Source organism: Homo sapiens, chromosome 5 (assembly GCF_000001405.40).
Source record: "Homo sapiens chromosome 5, GRCh38.p14 Primary Assembly".
NCBI classification, from domain to species: domain Eukaryota; kingdom Metazoa; phylum Chordata; class Mammalia; order Primates; family Hominidae; genus Homo; species Homo sapiens.
This window is the reverse complement of record NC_000005.10, coordinates 105,927,999-105,946,444: the sequence shown is the minus strand read 5'-3', so window position 1 is coordinate 105,946,444 and position 18,446 is coordinate 105,927,999. Positions and strand designations below refer to the sequence as shown.

The 18,446-nt window shown below is 35.0% G+C and overlaps 1 annotated feature.

Moving 5' to 3' along the window:
- Positions 5,729–6,510: an enhancer, noted in NCBI's record as "NANOG hESC enhancer chr5:105275636-105276417 (GRCh37/hg19 assembly coordinates)". NCBI's record gives its function as "activates a minimal SCP1, AML or CMV promoter by ChIP-STARR-seq in naive H9 embryonic stem cells {active_cell/tissue: H9 hESC(naive)}" and the evidence as "EXISTENCE:reporter gene assay evidence [ECO:0000049][PMID:30033119]".

The following is an 18,446-nucleotide window of genomic DNA, read 5'->3' as shown; positions in this document are numbered from 1 at the left end:
CAGTTCTGCCACAGTTATGAAAGCTCATAGTTTCTAGTTTAAAACCTGTAAACTGGAATATATTGTGGTTCTTCCCCACCCTCTCAATTCGCACTCTGTCTCTCTATTTTTCTATCTATCACTTATATTAGTTTGCTACGGCTGCCATACCAAATTCCGTAGACTGTGTGCTTTGTCAACAGGGTTGTTTTCTTCTAAGATCCTTTTCCTTGGCTTGTAGATGGCCATCTCCCCGTGTCTTTACGTTGTCTTCCTTTTGTACCTGTCTCTTCAAATTTCTTATTCTTATAAGGACACAAGCCATATTGGATTTGGGCCCACTGTAATGAACTCATAACTTAATTACCTCTTTAAATACTTTATCTCCAAATACAGTCACATTCTGAGGTATTAGGTTGGTGAAAAAGTCATTGAGGCTTTTCCCATTAACAGTAATGGCAAAAACTGCAATTACTTTTGCACAAACCTATAATACTTTAGGGCTTCAACATATAAATTTTGGGGGCATACAATTCAGCCCATTATTCTATTTATCTATCTGTCTATCTATCTATTAATCATCCATCTATCTAATTGCTAAATTATTTGAAAGTAATTTCTAGATATCATGATGCTTTATATGTAAATATATAGCATATGTTCTGAAGAAATAATAAGAACTTTCTTTTACATAACCAGAGCTCATTTCTTTTTTCTCTTCTTGTCTCTTTTCTTCATTTTCTTTATTTCCTTTTCCCTCCCTCCCTTCCTTCCTCCCTCCCTCCCTCTTTCCCTCCCTCCCTCCCATCCTTCCTCTCCTCCTCCTCCCTCTTCTTTCTTCTTCTTTTTTTCTTTTCCTGTCTCTCTCTCTGTCTCTCTCTCTTCCTCGCTCTCTTTATTTCTTAGCCTTGTCTTAGTTTCGGCTGATATAACAAAGTACCATTGACTGAATGGCTATAAGTAACAGAAATTTATTTCACACAGTTCTGGAGCCTTAAAGTCTAAAATCAGAGTACCAACGTGGTTGGTTTCTAGTGAAGGCCCTCTTCTGAATTGCTGACTATTGATTTTTCATTGTATCTTCACATGGTGGAAAGAAGCTAACTAGCTCTCTGGCCTCTTCTCATAAACTCACTAATTCTATCCATGAAAGGTCTATCTTCACGACCTAATTACCTTCCTAAGGCCTCACCTCCAAATACTATCACATTGGAATTAGGGATTCATTTTGGGCAGACACAAATATTCAGTCCATTGTAAGCATCTAATTAGATTTCACACAGTGCATTGTACTGTTTTTGTAATTTATTTGAATCTGAAAATTTTTCTACTTTTTTTATGATATTGACTCTTTGTACTGTTCTCAACTTGTAACTTATATGTCATTTTAGATTTGTCCAATTATTTCATTTTGTCATTAAACATATTACCTATTTTTAAATTTTCTGTAAACTAAAGTTTATAGAGGTTTTCTGCTTTACATTAAATTGTGTGTATAACTTTCATATTTAGTTCTGGACCTTTGTGGTAGATAGAATTCAAAGATTGCCCTTAGAATCTGTCTTAGTACCTATGGGCTGCTGTAACAAACTGCCATAAACTAGGTGTCTTATAACAATGGAAATATATTTCTCACAATTCTGGAGGCTGGCAAGTCCAGGATCAGGGTACCAGCATGACTGGGCTGTGGTAAAGGCTGCAATACCTGGTTCTTGGCACCTTTTTACTGTGTCCCCACAGGATGGAAGGAATAAGCTAGCTGTCTGTGGTCTCTTTTATAAGAGCACTAGTCCATTAATGAAGGCTTCACACTCATGACCTAAAAAAAGGCCCTGCTTCTTAGTATCATCATCTTGGGTGTTAGGGTTTCAACGTATGAGTTTTGGGGGGACACAAACATTCAAATCATAGCAAAATACCTACCTATCATGTATGTTTCTTGTATAGTCCCTTTATCTTAAATGTAAGTGGAGCATGTGAATATGATAGGATCCTTGTTTCTTGGATTAAGTTATGTTCATATGGCAAATGATGGTGAGATAATTTCTCCTATGATTATATAACCTTATATAGAACTCCATTATAGTGACTGGAAGAGGATTTGAAGTCAGAAATACTCACTCCTATTGGCTTGAAAGAGACACACGCTCATATTGTGTCTTGCCTGTGCTGGTCATGTGTCAAAGGACTAAAGGTGGTCTCTGGAAGCAGACAGTGGTTATCAGAAAACTTGGGATTACAGACATAGATCTACGAGGGAATGATTCTGCTGAAAACTGTGTGCTTGGAAGAGGATCCTGAGCCCTAGAAGAGAACTGAAGCCCCAGCCAACAACTTGATATCAGCCTAGCAAGATCCTGAGTAGATGACCCTGTGAACTCACACTCTGACTTCTTTGTGATATGGATAGGAGGCAGGGAAATACTGGGAAGAAGAGGACAGGGTCGCTGGCAAGGGCTTCACCCTCAAGCCTGGACTCTCCGCCCAAAGTGAGAACTATCTCTGTTTTCCCACCCGAATGTTGCCTTTTGGGCAGCCCTATCCCCATCCTGTGCCCATAAGAACTCCAAACCCAAGATGCAGTGGACAAACACACACACACACACACACACACACACACACACACACACACAGAATAGAAAAGCATCTGAACATTGACAGGCGAAGAAGCAGCTGGATGTTGGAGACTACAGCCAGAGAAGAATTTGGCTGGGGACGGTTGGAGAGGAGCTTGGCCTGAGATGGCCAGACCCCAGGGGAAGATTATCCTCCTGCTCCACCCTGGTTCCAGCTCCTCTTCCCACTGAGAGTCACTTCCAGCACTCGATAAAGTCCTCTTCAATTCATTCGTTTGACTTGATTCTTCTTGCTGATGGACAAAAACCTGGGTACCAAGAGGGCAGGGTGTAAAAGGCTGTCACCTTGTCCCTCCACTGAGCTGGTTAACACTTAGCCATCCATGGACCAGAACGCAAATGCTAAAAGAAAACTGATTGTAACACATCCCCTCTGGGGTTCCAGGGTCACAGACACTCTCTCCCAGACAGCACAGCTAAAAGAGCATTGTAACATGTTTGGACGCTGCTGCAGGGCTCACACAGAGCCTGCTCCTGCGAGAGAGGAGCAACCAGCTGGTTCCAGCATTAGTTCCCTCTGGTTCCCACACCCGTCTTCTCCTGTGCTCCCTCTCATAAGGGATTGAGCACAGCAGCTGAGTAAATGAGCCATGCCCTTCACAAGTCCCGAGAAGGGGTCAAGGGAACCCTCTCATCTCACTTGGATCATGGAAAATGTGAGATAATGTCTTAGTCCATGTGTGCCTCTATAATAGATTATCTGAGACTGGGTAATTTACAATTAACAGAAATTTATTGGTTCACAGTTCTGAAGGCTGGAAAGTCCACAAAGGTGACAGCATTCTATGAGGACCCTCTTGCTGTGTCATCACATGACTGAAGGTTAAAGGTCAGGAGAAGGAGCCCAGTCCCAAAGCTCATTATTTTTGTGGCCAAAGCAAAATAAGTATTTTATTTCTTAGGTGTTTTTTTTTTCCCAATTAAATCTCTTAAATTTCTTCTTGACTCTTTGTAACAGCTAAGGAAATGTAACAGGTAAGCAAATGAAAAAAGATACAATGTAACTTAAGTAGCAATATTAAAGTTGTATCAAGGCATAGACACCTATAGAATTTTGAACAAAAGATAAATGGCAGAGGTTTAGGTCTGACACTATTTAACTGATTTTAACTACCCACTGGTGGAAAAAAAAAATGAAAGGATCCAAAAAAAAGTATGGATATTTTCCACAGAGTTCTGAAATATTTCTTTCATTCCTGATAGCAGAACCCTCATGAACTAAACACCTTCCATTAGGCCCTCCATTCCTACTTGGCCCCATCTTCCAGTAATTTTACATTATCAATTAAATTCCAACATGAATTTTGGAGGGTTCAAAATGAACTAAACACCTTTCATTAGGCCCTCCATTCCTACTTGGCCCCATCTCATGAACTAAACACCTCATGACTAAACACCTTCCATTAGGCCCTCCATTCCTACTCGGCCCCATCTTCCAGTAATTTTACATTATCAATTAAATTCCAACATGAATTTTGGAGGGTTCAAACATTCAAACCATAGCAGATAATAAATTTGTGTTGTTTTAAGCCAGTGAGCATGGTAATCTGTTACACAGCATTAGAAACCAAGACAATTTCTTTTCAGATTAGGCTGTTTGGCAATGTCTGGATATATTCTGAATAGTCAAAATTTGAAGGGGGTTCCTATTTGCATTTAGTGCATAGAGGCCAGAGATGCTGCTAAACATCCTCTAATGCACAGGAAAAACCCTCTGACCACAGGATTTTGCAGCCTCAAAGTGGATAGTGCTAAGGTTAAGAAACCCTGCTGTGGTAGGCTATTTTGTTAAAATTATCTCCAATTGGAAGAGGAACACTAAATTAGAGTGAGAATCCTGAGAATATAAATAATTTTCTGGGAATAAGTTAAGAATTTTCATGAACCAGATAAAATTTATTTGGCATACTAGGATATTATTAAATACTACATAATTAGTAACGTTATTCTCAGAGCTGCCAAACTGAATCTGCTACTTCTTACATATAAGAATTAAGTTTTAAGGTAAGTTTTGATATTTATAAGAAATTCCTACCCACATGAGATAATCAAAGATCTTATAGTTTAGAACATTTTGCTCATGAGGTGTAAACTATGTGAATTGTTCTTCGACTTTTACTTTTTGGAAATACTTTTTTAAATTTTGCAGGGGCACAATGGAGACATTTAATTGGTAGGACTAATTCAATATTTGTCTTCTGAACTTCCTTCATATGCCGTTCCTTTTCTATCAGAAAGCTTCCGAGGTTGCTGGCAGAATATCTGTTTATAAAATCTGATGCATGCCACAGGATTCCAGTATTTGTGGTGGCAAGAACACAAAGAGTAAAGATTATCATACCTTTTCTAATTCCAAAACAAAAAAAATGTTTCAGAACCTCAGAGACTTAAAAACTGGATGAAACATTCTGTAATAATATATAAATAAAAGCTAGAGCTGGTAATATACTGAAGCTACTTATAACTGTTGGACATGATAAATTAAGCATTAAATAAATGCAAGTTTGGAGCCCTTTTTATTTCAGTGCTGCTCTTGAGTTGTTGATACTCGGCAGGACTCTAGTATTATCACATGTTCTTTGAGGAGAATTTTAAACAACATAAAAATATTCTAAAGGCACAAAATTTCTCTAAGTTACTTCCAGCTGCCAGTCAATGAGATCCCACAATGCAGATCCTTTGCTGTGAATTCCAACATATCCTGCTGACATGAACCATCAGGACATTTAACAGAGAACAGACAAATGAATATTGTGACAAAATTGCAAAACCGTGTGGAATATCAAGGTTCATTTATTTACACAGGTGAAAAACAATATAGAGAACCCGATCCATATTATTCACAACCTTCTGCCTGGAATGAGCCTTTGCTAGCATTAGGATTATAAAATAAGATCTCCTTATTTTCTAAGTCATAGTCTCAAAGTTCTACAAAGACAAATTTGTCATGTTTTGTGGCTACTCCTTATTTATAATTAGACTAGCCTTCAAGAAAAATGCAACTGCAAATAGCAAGTAACTAAATAAATATGAAGTTTTATCCAGAAGTGACTTCCCTAATAAGCTCAGGAATCTCAAATTTTCAATGAATATGAAGAATCAAATGATCTACCAAAGTACAAAACCACATGTTAGTATATTCGTACATTAATAATATGGGCAGGCACACATAATACTTATTGTAAGTCAGATACAGCTCTGATGGCTGTCTTTAGATAGTAACTTGTTTAATCCTCACAGCAACCTTATGAGATAAGCCCTATACTCATCTCCATTTGACAAATGAGAGAACAGAAGCAGAGTTTAAGTGACTTTAGGAAGAAGTACAACCAGTAAAGGAGTTAGCAAATATTCAAAGCAGAGCCCTCACTCTTAACTACTTCAAGTGGTTAATCTCCAAGTTTCTATTTAGTCTTTAGTCAAGCATTCATTTAGTTTTTATCCTTGGAAGCACCCTGTGCTGGTTGCTGGCATAGAGATAAATATAAAAGACATGTAAATCAATAAATCACATTTTAATGTGTGTTGTGATGTGAACACAATGAAGGGATTATCACTTGCCAAGTAACAAAAGGGAAAACAAGAAGCAGTTAGGTTAATGGTAAACAGTTCTATGTATTTCAACTTCCTATTGTAGTATAGCCTTTGAACACATTGACATTGTAATTATATTCATAATGAAGACCTCCAATTGCCAAAGATTGAATGTATGTTCAGAGAAGTTTGCTTAAGAAAGAAGGCATATAGGCAGTGTATTTACAAACTTTTATTATAGATAGTTTACCTGTTTTGAAATAAATACTTATTTTTTTCCATCACATTGAAGTTATTTTTTTGTGGTTACTTTGGAGGTTATTGTATGCATTTTAACTTAGAATTGACTTCAGATTTATACTAATAATTCTAGTGAGATATAGAAATGCTACTTCTATATAGCTCTACTTAATCTTTCCATTTTTGTCTTACTGTTATTATATCTATTACATCCATACATGCTACAAAGCAAATAATGCATTGCTATTAATTTATTTTTTTGTCTACTATGGAAGCTGAGAAAAGAAATAAGGGCAAATATAGATAGATAGATAGACAGACAGACAGACAGACAGACAGACAGACAGACAGATAGATAGATAGATAGATAGATAGATAGATAGATTTTTAGATATTTACATTTTACTTACCATTTCTGGTTCTCTTTATTTCATTCCTGGTTCCTGTTCCCACTGACCTTTATGCTCCATGTTTTTTTGTGGTTACTCTAGAGATTATCATATACACTTTAACTTAGAATTGACATAATAAACATGTTATATTTTATATCTAATAGGCCAAACAGTATAATTCTATACATAGTGTTTTATACAATTGCTTTTTAAATGAATTAAGAGAATAAATAAAAAATGCATTTATATAGCATTTTATAACTACAGAAGTACCTATAACAATGTTCCTTATTTTTTGTATAGATTTGAATTTCATCTAGATATACTTACTTACAAACCAAAGAACTTTCTTTAGTATTTCTTTTAAGTCTTGTCTGAAATTATAAGAATGTCTCAGTGAGACAGCCTAGTATAAAGGGGTCCCCAGAGAACCTCTGACTGGCCTGCTCACTGTGAGAATGGGGTGGAACCACGGAAGTTCCTGCCATTTGCTCAGGGGAGGAGCCTGGCCCCTCCTGTTCTAGTGTGGGAACCTCGGATTCAATCTGTGAGATGAGGGACTGCTAAAGGAACTCCTCTCTTGCTTTGCTGTGTTGCTTTTCCTTGTTCCTTTTGCCCAGTAAATTCTGTTATTCCCAACCCTTCCATGTGTCCACAAGCCTAATTTTTCCTGGTCATGTGACAAGAACCCAGCTTTCAGATGAACTAAGGAGAAAGTCCTACAACATCAGTTTTTGTTTATCTGAGAATATTTATCTGAAAGATAGTGTTGCTGGATGTCAGATTCTTGGTTGACAATTTTTTTTTCTCAGCACTTTGAATACATTATTTTGTTATATTTTGGCCTTCAATGTTTCTGATGAGAAATCAACTCTTAATCTTTTCAGGTTTCCCTCATAAGTGATAAATAATTTCATTTTTCCATTTTTAAGATTTTGTCCTTATTTTAAACTTTTCATATCTGTGTTATAATATGTCTGGGTGTGGATCTCTTTGTATTTATCCTATTTGGAGTTTGTTGAGATTCTTGGGTATGTAGGTTGATGATTATCTGCAAATTTGCGAAGTTTTCAATCATTATTTCTTTGAATATCTTTTCAGTTGTTTTCTCTATCTCCTTTCTTTATAGTGTTTCCATTATACTATGTTGGTTCACTTAAAGTATAGCACATTTTTCTAAGTTCTGTTCATTTTTCTTCATTCTATTTTCTCTTTGTTCTTCAAATTGCATAATCGCCATAGATCCAGCTTTGAGCTTGCTTATTATTTTTTCTGCCATTTAAAATCTACCATTGAGCCAGGTGTGGTGGTGTGTACCTGTAATCCCTGTTCCTGAGGTGGGAAGGTAGCTTGAGACCAGGAGTTAGAGACCAGCCTTGGCAAGATGTTGATATTCCTGTATCTAAAAAAGAAAAAAGAAAATCAAAATAAACAAATAAAACAAAATAAAACAAACAAACAAACAAACAAAAACAAAAAACCCACTCATTGTTGAGCTTCTCTAATGATTTTTTTTTAAATTTAAATTCATGGATTTTTAACTCCAGAATTTTTATTTTCTTCTTTTTTATAATTTCTATTATGTACTGATATTTTGTATTTGATGAGACATGTCAGGGCTCCCAATGACTGTCTCTTTTCCTGATCTATCTGTTACCACATGTATTTCATTTGGTATTATACCCCACATGTTAGGCTCCCCTAATTGCTGGATGATTGCTCTAAGTTTTCAACAATGCCCTGATGTATAAATTACTCAGCAGTCAGATGAATTAAATTCAAGTACAGGTAATTTTTAAGACCAATCTTAGAGATTTGTTTTGACTTTATAGGGCTCTTCTTTGCTGTGTATTTTCCTCATTATTTTTGGTAAACTGGATGATCTTTGGTTTAGCTTGTTGCTCTTGTGCACCCTGAATATCTGAGACAGGTCTCAGTTAATTTAGAAAGTTTATTTTGCAGAGGTTGATGATGCACACCTGTTACACAGCCTCAGGAGGTCCCGATGACATGTTCCTAAGATGGTCGGGGCAAAGCTTGGTTTTATACATTTTTAGGGAGACATTAATGAAAATATGTAAGATATACATTGGTTCTGTCCAGTAAGTTGGGACAACTAAGCAGGGAGAGGGCTTTCAGGTCACAGGTAGGTGAGAGAAAAACTGTTGCATTATTTTGAGTTTCTGATTAGCCTTTCCAGTGGAGGCAATCAGATACGCATTTATCTCGGTGTGCAGAGGGATGACTTTGAACAGAATGGGAGGCAGGTTTGCCCTAAGCAGTTCCTGGCTTGACTTGTCCCTTTAGCTTAGTGACTTTTAGAGCCCCAAGATTTATTTTCCTTTCACACTCTTAATTGAGAAAAGCTATTTATTTCAAGAGATCCCTTAAGAATGAACTTCTTCACACTCTATTTCAAATAATGTCAGTTCCATAAAGAGAGTTTTGGATCTTTTTGTTTTTGTGAACTTCCTCTCTCTCTGAAAATTCTCTGGGCCACTACTCTGTGTGCTATATGTGATAGTAGCCTCTGATCCTCTTGGATTGCCTCTTCCAGGAGGGACTTCTGCCTTAAGAAGAAATGTTGGTGCCCTGACCCTCCCAGTGACATATGGTAACCTTTTACAGGAAGATAAGGAGAGAAGAAGTTCTGTTTCCTTGGCCACACCCAACTACACGTAGTCTCCTTTAAGCTGAGCTGAGTGGCGAGAGGGAGGTAGGCAAAAGGCTGTGGTTCAAAAGTCAAAGACTCTTGCTATTCTTACAGAATTTTGGAAGATTTTTTAAGTGAATATTTCCACTTGTTGTATATGCCCTTAGCACAATTTCCAGAGAGTTTATTTAATTTTTTTGTGTTCAACAGTTTTGTTCATTTCTTTATGGAGAGCTTCTGCAGAGTTCCTCATGCTGCCATTCTAGAAGTGAACTCTAAATACTTAATTTTAAAAGATACTTTCAGTTATCTTAGTATTTCATTAATGTAAGGAACAATGTCATTCCTCAATAATACAAAGTAAATGAGGTACATTCATTGATGTTTAGAGTCAATTTAAGAATAAACTGATGGCATTACTCTTGGTCAAAAGATAAAATGAAAGACACTATAACTCTCTAATCTAGAGATTAGTAGTACTTGGGTCAGATATACACAAGTCTCATTTATAAGTTCCACAATACATGCTTGAAAATGTATTTCTTGGCTTGTATTATAATTGTTTTTTTTTTTTTTTTTTTTTTTTTTTGAGATGGAGTCTTACACTGTTGCCAGGATGGATTACAGTGGTGTGATCTTGGCTCACTGCAACCTCTGACTCCCGGGTTCAAGTGATTCTCCTGCCTCAGCCTCCCGAGTAGCTGGGATTACAGGCACGCACCACCACACCCTGCTAATTTTTGTATTTTTAGTAGAGACAAGGTTTCACCATATTGGCCAGGATGATCTCAATCTCTTGACTTTGTGATCTGCCCGCCTCGGCCTCCAAAAGTGCTGGGATTACAGGTGTGAGCTTTAACTTCCTCTCCTCACCCTCTCCCCCATCCCACAGAGTTATTTTGTTTCAGAATATTGAAATTTCTTAAACTTCACCAGTATCATTATAATAATATTATTATTACATTTATTGTCAGAATTTCAAATATAATTTCTCCTTCTCCTGGGCAGAGCACCAAGAAGATTGGTTTAATTTGCTGGGTGACTGGATTAGTAAATATTTATTTGAAATTGATTCATTCTGTGAACATTAATAGATACCGACTTTGTGTCAGTTACTGTTCTAAGCACAGGAGTTGAGAAAACTCAATACGCAATGGGGTATTATTCTGACTCCGTAAATTTACCATATAATCTAATGACCACAGAGGGCTTAGAGAATATATAAATGCAATAATATTCATCATGAAAAATAAATTTTTTTTTATGAGGTTAAGTTGGTTCACAAAGAACTGGGTGGCTAATTTTGTTTGGTCTGGAAAGATGCGGGACAGCTTCCCAGACTTGGTATATCTTGACATAGAAATTTTGTATTCTAGGAATAGTTGCAAAATACATGTAGTTTGAAATGAGCAAGTAGTTTCTTTTGACCAATATCTCAGAGGGATGGGAGCAAAACATGAAGTCAATAGCTCTAGAGAGCTAGGCAGGGACCAGATTGTGGTAACCTCTTCTCACTATGCTATCGATTTTTCACTTTATCGAGCTGGCAACAGGAGGAACTGAAAAGCTTGAAGTTGGAACCAAATGGATATCACATTTTCATTTTTCTTTAAAATTGTTGTTAGTTTTAGAAAGTTTTGTCTGCCAAATTTTGGAAGATGAATCAACTAGACTAGTTAAGAGACTATAATGATGGCATACTTAAGAGATAATTGCCTGAAATAAAATAGTACCAGTGGAGCTAAAACAGACAAGGTAGATATAAAAAGTTGTTAAGAAGGTAAAAGATAATAGGACTGGATCAGAAATTTATATACAGACTAAGAGGAATAAAATATTTGAAGACAAATTCTAGATTTTATGATTATGCAGCTTCATTGATGATGATGTAATTAAAGAGTAATGTGTTTTGGAGGAAAATTAATGCTTCTAGTTTTGGACATTGTGGTTTATTATACCCATGGAACACCAGTTAGCCCTGCCTGGTAGGTCATTACGTACATAAGTCTGAAGTGAAGGAGCAAGATCTGTGCTACTGATGTAGAAGTCATTCACATATAGGAACTAAAAAAGTCATGACAATGAAGAAAATCTCAGTTTGAAAATGTGAGATCTCAAAAGACAGAACTTTGTGGGAAAATGATATTTAAGGGGAAGGCAAAGATATTTCATTTAGGAGAGAAGTCTATCTTTTCTACATTAACAAATACATAAATTTATTTTTTAAGTTCACTAATTTAGTAATGATAAGTAAAGATTAACAGGCCTATTTCCTAGTTTGGTCTGATATAGACAATCTGAGTGATACATAAACAAGCAAATAATTCAGAAGGCCTTTATATAGAAACCATGCACATTTCATTAGAGAGACAAATTAATATAATAAGACATTCTTTTGGTAAGTACATATATGTTTTGATAACTAAATAGCTATTCTACAAGCTTTACTTTAGTGAATTAACACACATATCTAATGCATTTCCTAAGTCTCCAACTCAAAAATGCCTGAATTAATTCTCTTAGACAAAATAAAGCATATGTTGACTTTCATTTCTGGTCATTTATTAAACCACTGAAGATATATATTGTTTACATTTCAACCAGTGGTTTTACATTGGAGATAATGTATTTAAGAAATTAGGTGTCATTATATGAGGCCATATAATGAGGCAAACAAGCCTTTTTTATTTTTTCCAAATAATCATTTTTAGAGGATACTATAAACAAAAACATTAAAACATTTTGCCTATGTTCTAGGCCCCTGAAGTGTGTGAGGTTTCATGCTTGAAATACAGACTTAGCCATGCCACTTTACAATTCCATGACAATTCTTTCCTTCTCTTTCTTTTCTTTTCTTTCCTTTCCTTTCTTTCTTTCTTTCTTTCTTTCTTTCTTTCTTTCTTTCTTTCTTTCTTTCTTTCTTTCTTTCTTTCTTTCTTTCTTTCTCTTTCTTTCTTTCTTTCTTTCTTTCTTTCTTTCTTTCTTTCTTTCTTTCTTTCTTTCTTTCTTTCCTTTCTTTCTTTCGTTCTTTCGAGAGTTTTTTTTTCCCCACCTGCTTCTTTTTACTCATCTAGACGTTGAAATCCATGGAATGCAAGTGTCTTGGCTGCATTTGCAAATTTAATAGGAGAGTACACAAGATTTGATCCAGTTGTGTTTGATTCCAAGCCCCAGTCTTTTTCTTCTATAGCCCTATACCATCTTTCCAGGGAGTCTGGTTCTAGATAAACCCAGCATGCACAAATGGAAGGTATGTACAACTCTCCTCAAAAAAACCCTGGAAATCATCCAAAAAATATATTACATATAGTAATGAACCATAGACGCATTGATTGAGAAACCATGTGATTTCTAAATAATTCCAACACACTGAAATATATCCTCACTGTTCAAAAATCTAGTAGATTAATATTTGGGTTGTGCTTAGAGACTAGATAGGCACAAGTATAGATGTACATTTGCTTGTACATACATATGCATATACATACACATACACATAGGCATTAATATAAACATACAGGTATTTGGATATCTTTGTTGTCATTTTTACTAAATACAAATAATTAAATGTGCACAAGTTTATACCATTGTATTCTCTGCCAACTCCTGATTTTCCTCTGAGAAACTGCAGTTTATGTAAAAAATTTTCAAAATGAATTAATACACTATAAAAAGACTTTCTTGTTATTACCAAGTAGAAAGTGAATGTGAATAAGAAAAGAAACATAGAAAAATGTTTTTCCTATCAGACCTGTGTGGAAGTTCCCACTCTGTTTCTCACTGAAGCCCCTGCTCTGCTTCCTACTATTGACATGATATTGAGGCAGTTATTTTGAGATCAAGGTCTGTGTTATTATAACAACATTACCAGGGTTGGGCACAGTGGCTTATGCCTGTAATCCCAGCACTTTGGGAAGCTGAGGCAGGAAGATTTCTTGAGGCCAGGAGTTAGAGGCCAGACTGGGCAACACAGTGAGATACAGTCTCTACAAAAATGCTTTTAAAAATTAGCTGGGCGTGGTGGCACGCTCCTGTAGTCCCAGATAATTTGGAGGCTGAAGTAGGAGAATCTCTTGAACCCAGGAGTTTGAGGTTGCAGTAATCTATGTTGGAGCCACTGCACTTTACTTGGGTAACGGAGTGAGACCCTGTCTCCATTAAAAAAAAGAACACTACCCTTAGTGCATTCATTTTTCATATATAAGTTTTACTTTCCACAGCAAAAATTGCCAATGTTAGAATAATTTAAATTTTACTCCAGTGATCCTCTCATATAACTTAATGGAATTAAATAGATCTAGTAACAGAAGGGAAAAATAATAGAGTGAGAGAGAAACTATGTGTGTGAGAAAGATAAATGCTGTAACGTACCAAATGTTCCTGTACATTTTCAGTGTCTTGCAGCTGTGAAAATACAGGTATAAGTAATTACCATGCAAATGTTTGAAATTTTACTTATGTATGTAAAGTGTGCACCAAAATAGCCATTTTTTTTAGGTTAAAGCAAAACTCATGTCTGACTAAAGGAAGTGTCATATTTTGATGAACACTCTGCACTAAAATACACGATATGCTCATGGATAAAAATTTGGGAGAGTTGAACTTTTAATCGTAAAATAAATATACTTAAGTTACTGAGACTTTACCTTCTTCCTTTCTGAGTTGGAAGACTTCCACTACTATGCTTAAATATGAAGACCTCACAATTAGGATCAGTTTTCTACAGAGACTTCCCTGGAAATTCTACACAGAAGAAAAACATTGCATGCCATATATGGTAATGCAGCCTACTTCTTATTTTTGAACCAGATGGATTAAAGATTAAATGATGAAGTGTAAGTTCCTCTGTAGTATACTCAGCAAGATATCAAATAAAAATATTAATATATATTTATCCAATTATCTTTTGTGCTTGAAAATTATTCTTGCTGGGGCAAAGGAATTTGAAAAATTAGGATCTGGCTTTGGAGGTTTTTGAAAGCAGAACATTTTTATGTCACGTGTCATCTCCCTCATCTCAGAAATATGAAATGACAAAACCATGGATTATAGACTGCCAAAATTTTCTCAAGCAATAAGTAGGAGAAGATAGAGGGCAAAGGGCAGTAGTACTGGGAAATCAGAAACATTTTTTACTGTTCCCACCCAATAAAGTGTATTGTTTTGGAAAACATCCCTCTCTCCATCGCTGTGCGTGCCATAGTTTTAAAAATTAACAAATGAAATAGCATTATTTAAATATCTTAAAAGAATGTTTTTATTAGTATTCTGCTAAAGGGTTTAAAAATTATTTTATAATGATATATGTTTAAAGTTAAATATATCTAGTTTTTTTTTTTTTTTTAAGAAGGAGTCTTGCTGTGTTGCCCTGGCTGCAGTGCAGTGGCTCAATCTCGGCTCATTGCAACCTCCACCTCCCAGGTTCAAGCGATTCTCCTGCTTCAACCTCCCAAGAATTACAATAGCCTATATACAGGCACCTGCCATCATGCCCAACTAATTTTTGTACTTTCAGTAGAGATGGGGTTTCACCACGTTGGCCAGGCTGGTCTCAAACTCCTGACCTCAGGTGATCTGCTCTCCTCGGCCTCACAAAGCATTGGGATTACTGTGCAGAAGTGAGCCACAGTACCTGGCCAAATATCTGGTTTTAAGCAGTTAATTTGATACTTTCATTTGCACCTAGGGGCCCATGTATTTTATTTCCTTTCTGTCATTTTCCTTTCTCCTTTTCAATTGCTAAATGCTACTAGGATGCCTGTAATTCCATCCTTAGATCGTCATGATTAACACATTTGCACCAATTTGTGATTCCAGCACTATTGTTTGTTGACTTGTCTTGATCTTCATACTTTTGTACTTTTGTACAAGTTGTTATTTTCCTGCTTGAAGCTCCTCTACTTTATTTATCCAGTAATTTATCAATAGCCACCTAATTGTTTCCTGTGTAGTTCTACAACTCTTCATATGCAGCCATTTTAATATTTTTATGCTGTATTATCATTATGTGTCCAGATGTGTCTAGAAACACTGAGTATGTGGAACACCTAGAAAACATACCCTACTTCAATCACAAAGTGTAATTCTGGGTACAAAATAGACAGTAGAGAATGCTTAATGAATGAATGAAGAGCTTGGTAGCATATGCTGGTAGGAAAGAGAGCTGCAAAGTACTAATGTGGACTCCAAAGCTCTGAGAAACATGGGAGGAAACAGAGAATCTGTCAAATTTGTCCATTTGACATCTTTGTCCATGGAAAATAGGTCATTTAAAAATAAATAGAACACCATTTTCTTCTTACTCACATACTACCACTGTAATATGTATTTGAATATAAGACTATTCAAGGGACTAATATTTTAATCAGTGATTATATGTCATAAAAATGTATTGAGTGAAATATTTCCCTTTCAGAAGAAGCAAGTAACAGAAAACAAAAATAGATTAAAAGTAAAAGTACATATTTACTACAATTTCCAAAGACCTATTTTATTAAGTGAATTATAAGTTGTTCCATTTATTCTAAAAGTAGAATTACAATGGCCTATATGTTTTAAAGCCTAAATAAAATTGTGCCAACACATTGCCAACCCAACAGAATGTACAAGAATGTTAATTTAAGTAAAAATAAATGAGATTTTGAAAAAATTTAATGATCCCCAAAAAGACGCAGACTGTGTTTTCCCTGTATTTGGTTATCCAAGTATGCCTCATATATTCTAAACTTTCTTTGAATACAATTTGATCTATGCTTACAATATAAATAAGACTGCATATAAACAAACTTAATATAATTTGGTAGTTTCAATGCATAAAATCAAGAAGAATATGTATTATGTATACATATATATTTAGTTTCTATGGTGACCTGGTCACTTGAAATACAGTTTTGCATGAACAATAGTACATAGTCATCACTTTGAATTTCCTGACCTCTCTTTTCTGTTTAAATGCTGCATTAGCAGATTTTAGTAGCTAACGTTTAGTATATCTTATAAATTGTGTTAATGTTATAGGTCTTGACAACACAGTTGCTCAACAGTTACTCCAAAAAACAAAAGTTTTAAGTTTCCTTTGAAAAGTTTTATTTTGGCTTTAAATAAACCTTGAGATTACAACAAAACAAATAAACATGAATGATGCAGTGAATTATACATTTTGTTGTGTTATCTGTAGCTATTAAACTAGAAATAAAGAGAAAACAAGCATTTCAATATTTATGAAGCTGTGTGTTAATAGATATTTGAGGTATCCTTTAAAGTTAACATGGTATTTCTATAATTAGCCTTAAGCTAGTATGTTTATAATGTCAATTTACAGTTTATTATGTCAGAGAAAGAATACTAGGCTAGATACATGGGGTCCTAATCTTAGATTTGTTGGTGCCATTTACATTTCTATGACATAGGGTCATAAGTTTTCAGATTCTCCATTTCCTTATTTATAAAATAAGAAGTAATAACAACATAAAATTTTATTTCTATCTCTAATTCTGCAAGTCTTAAGGCCGATATAAACTTCAAAATAAAAAATTCATATTAAAAAATTATTTACTGCATGTTTATTGCAAAAACAATATTAAAAGTAAATATGGCTAACAATTGGGGAATAGTTACATGATTTATAACATGTAGTTCAATAAATATTTTTGTTATTAAATGATAAATATGTAGATCATGTATTTAAAAAGAAAGACATATAAAATAGCATGTGAAAATGTTGCAAAAATTGTTTCCATTGAAGACAGTTGTGTGAAAAATACAATCTCATATATAAGGGAACAAAGATGTCAGATTAAATTAAAAACAGTGTGGTAAAAGTGTCATTTGCTTTTTGCTGTTGTGGTTTATCTGTTCTGTTACAGCTGGTTAAATATGAAAACTTTTTAAAAGAAATATATAATATGCAGTATTAATGTAGCAATAAACAGAGGCAAAAGAACTTGATCTCAGTCCCTAATTGTTATAAAAAACAAAACAAAACAAACAAACAAAAACAACGGTGCTCTGAGATGAGTGTACCCTTGGATGGGGTATACAAGTAGAAAAATGCAATAACCTTAAGATTTTAAAGCAGTTAACAGTGTATGCTTCTATTTCAGACAGGCTTTGAGTTTACACCTATCTGGCTTTGCCTAGGCCTGGGTGAATTTAAACATATTGTTTAACCTCCATGAAGGTTGTTTATCTCATGTGGAAATGGAGCAAATAATATAAAATGCCTTATAAAATCAATTTGAGGATTGTTAAGTAAATGTGAGTGAAGTTCTTATCATGTTGCCTAACTCATAATTACTCATTAAATACTCAGTGATCTCACACTAAATTTATTAGGATATAAAGGATATTTGTTATTGTTTCTAGAGAAGGGTAAAGCTAACAATTGTCATACGGTAGTTATAAAGTATGTCATGCGTCATATAGGTTTATCAGTGTATGCTATGTGACTTTACAGAGAAGTGGACAGATTTAAAGGGGAATCATTTAATGCCATGTAACATGCAGTGGGGTCTTTTTGGCTTGGCTTCCCTGTAAATTGCCAAGATCCATAATGTAATTATAAAGCAGGGAAATACATGAATATATAATCTGTAGTAGCTAGTCATAAAGGAAGATGGCAGTAATTCTAACAATTTGAATGATTGCTGTAGGAATATTGGATGAAGTGAAATGGCTATAAATTGCAACAATGGGGACTCAGCAACAAGAATTACTTAACACTGGGACTACATAAAAATGTCTTGCAGTTATTTAATTCTAAAGTTTTGTTAAAGAGAGTAAATGAGGATATGATAGAAGATTAGGGAAGGGCGATTTAAATTCTTTTAATTGCATACATCATCCTGGAATGAAAGTGTTTATGAGTACATTGGTGTGGATGGTTAAGAAAGAAAAAAATGAGCTAAACTGAGAGGATCAACCTATATCAGACATCACCCACTGAGCATCTGTTATCTTTATACTTTTATTATTTAGATAGAGATAAAGAGGTGTGTGAGAGAGACGTCCGTG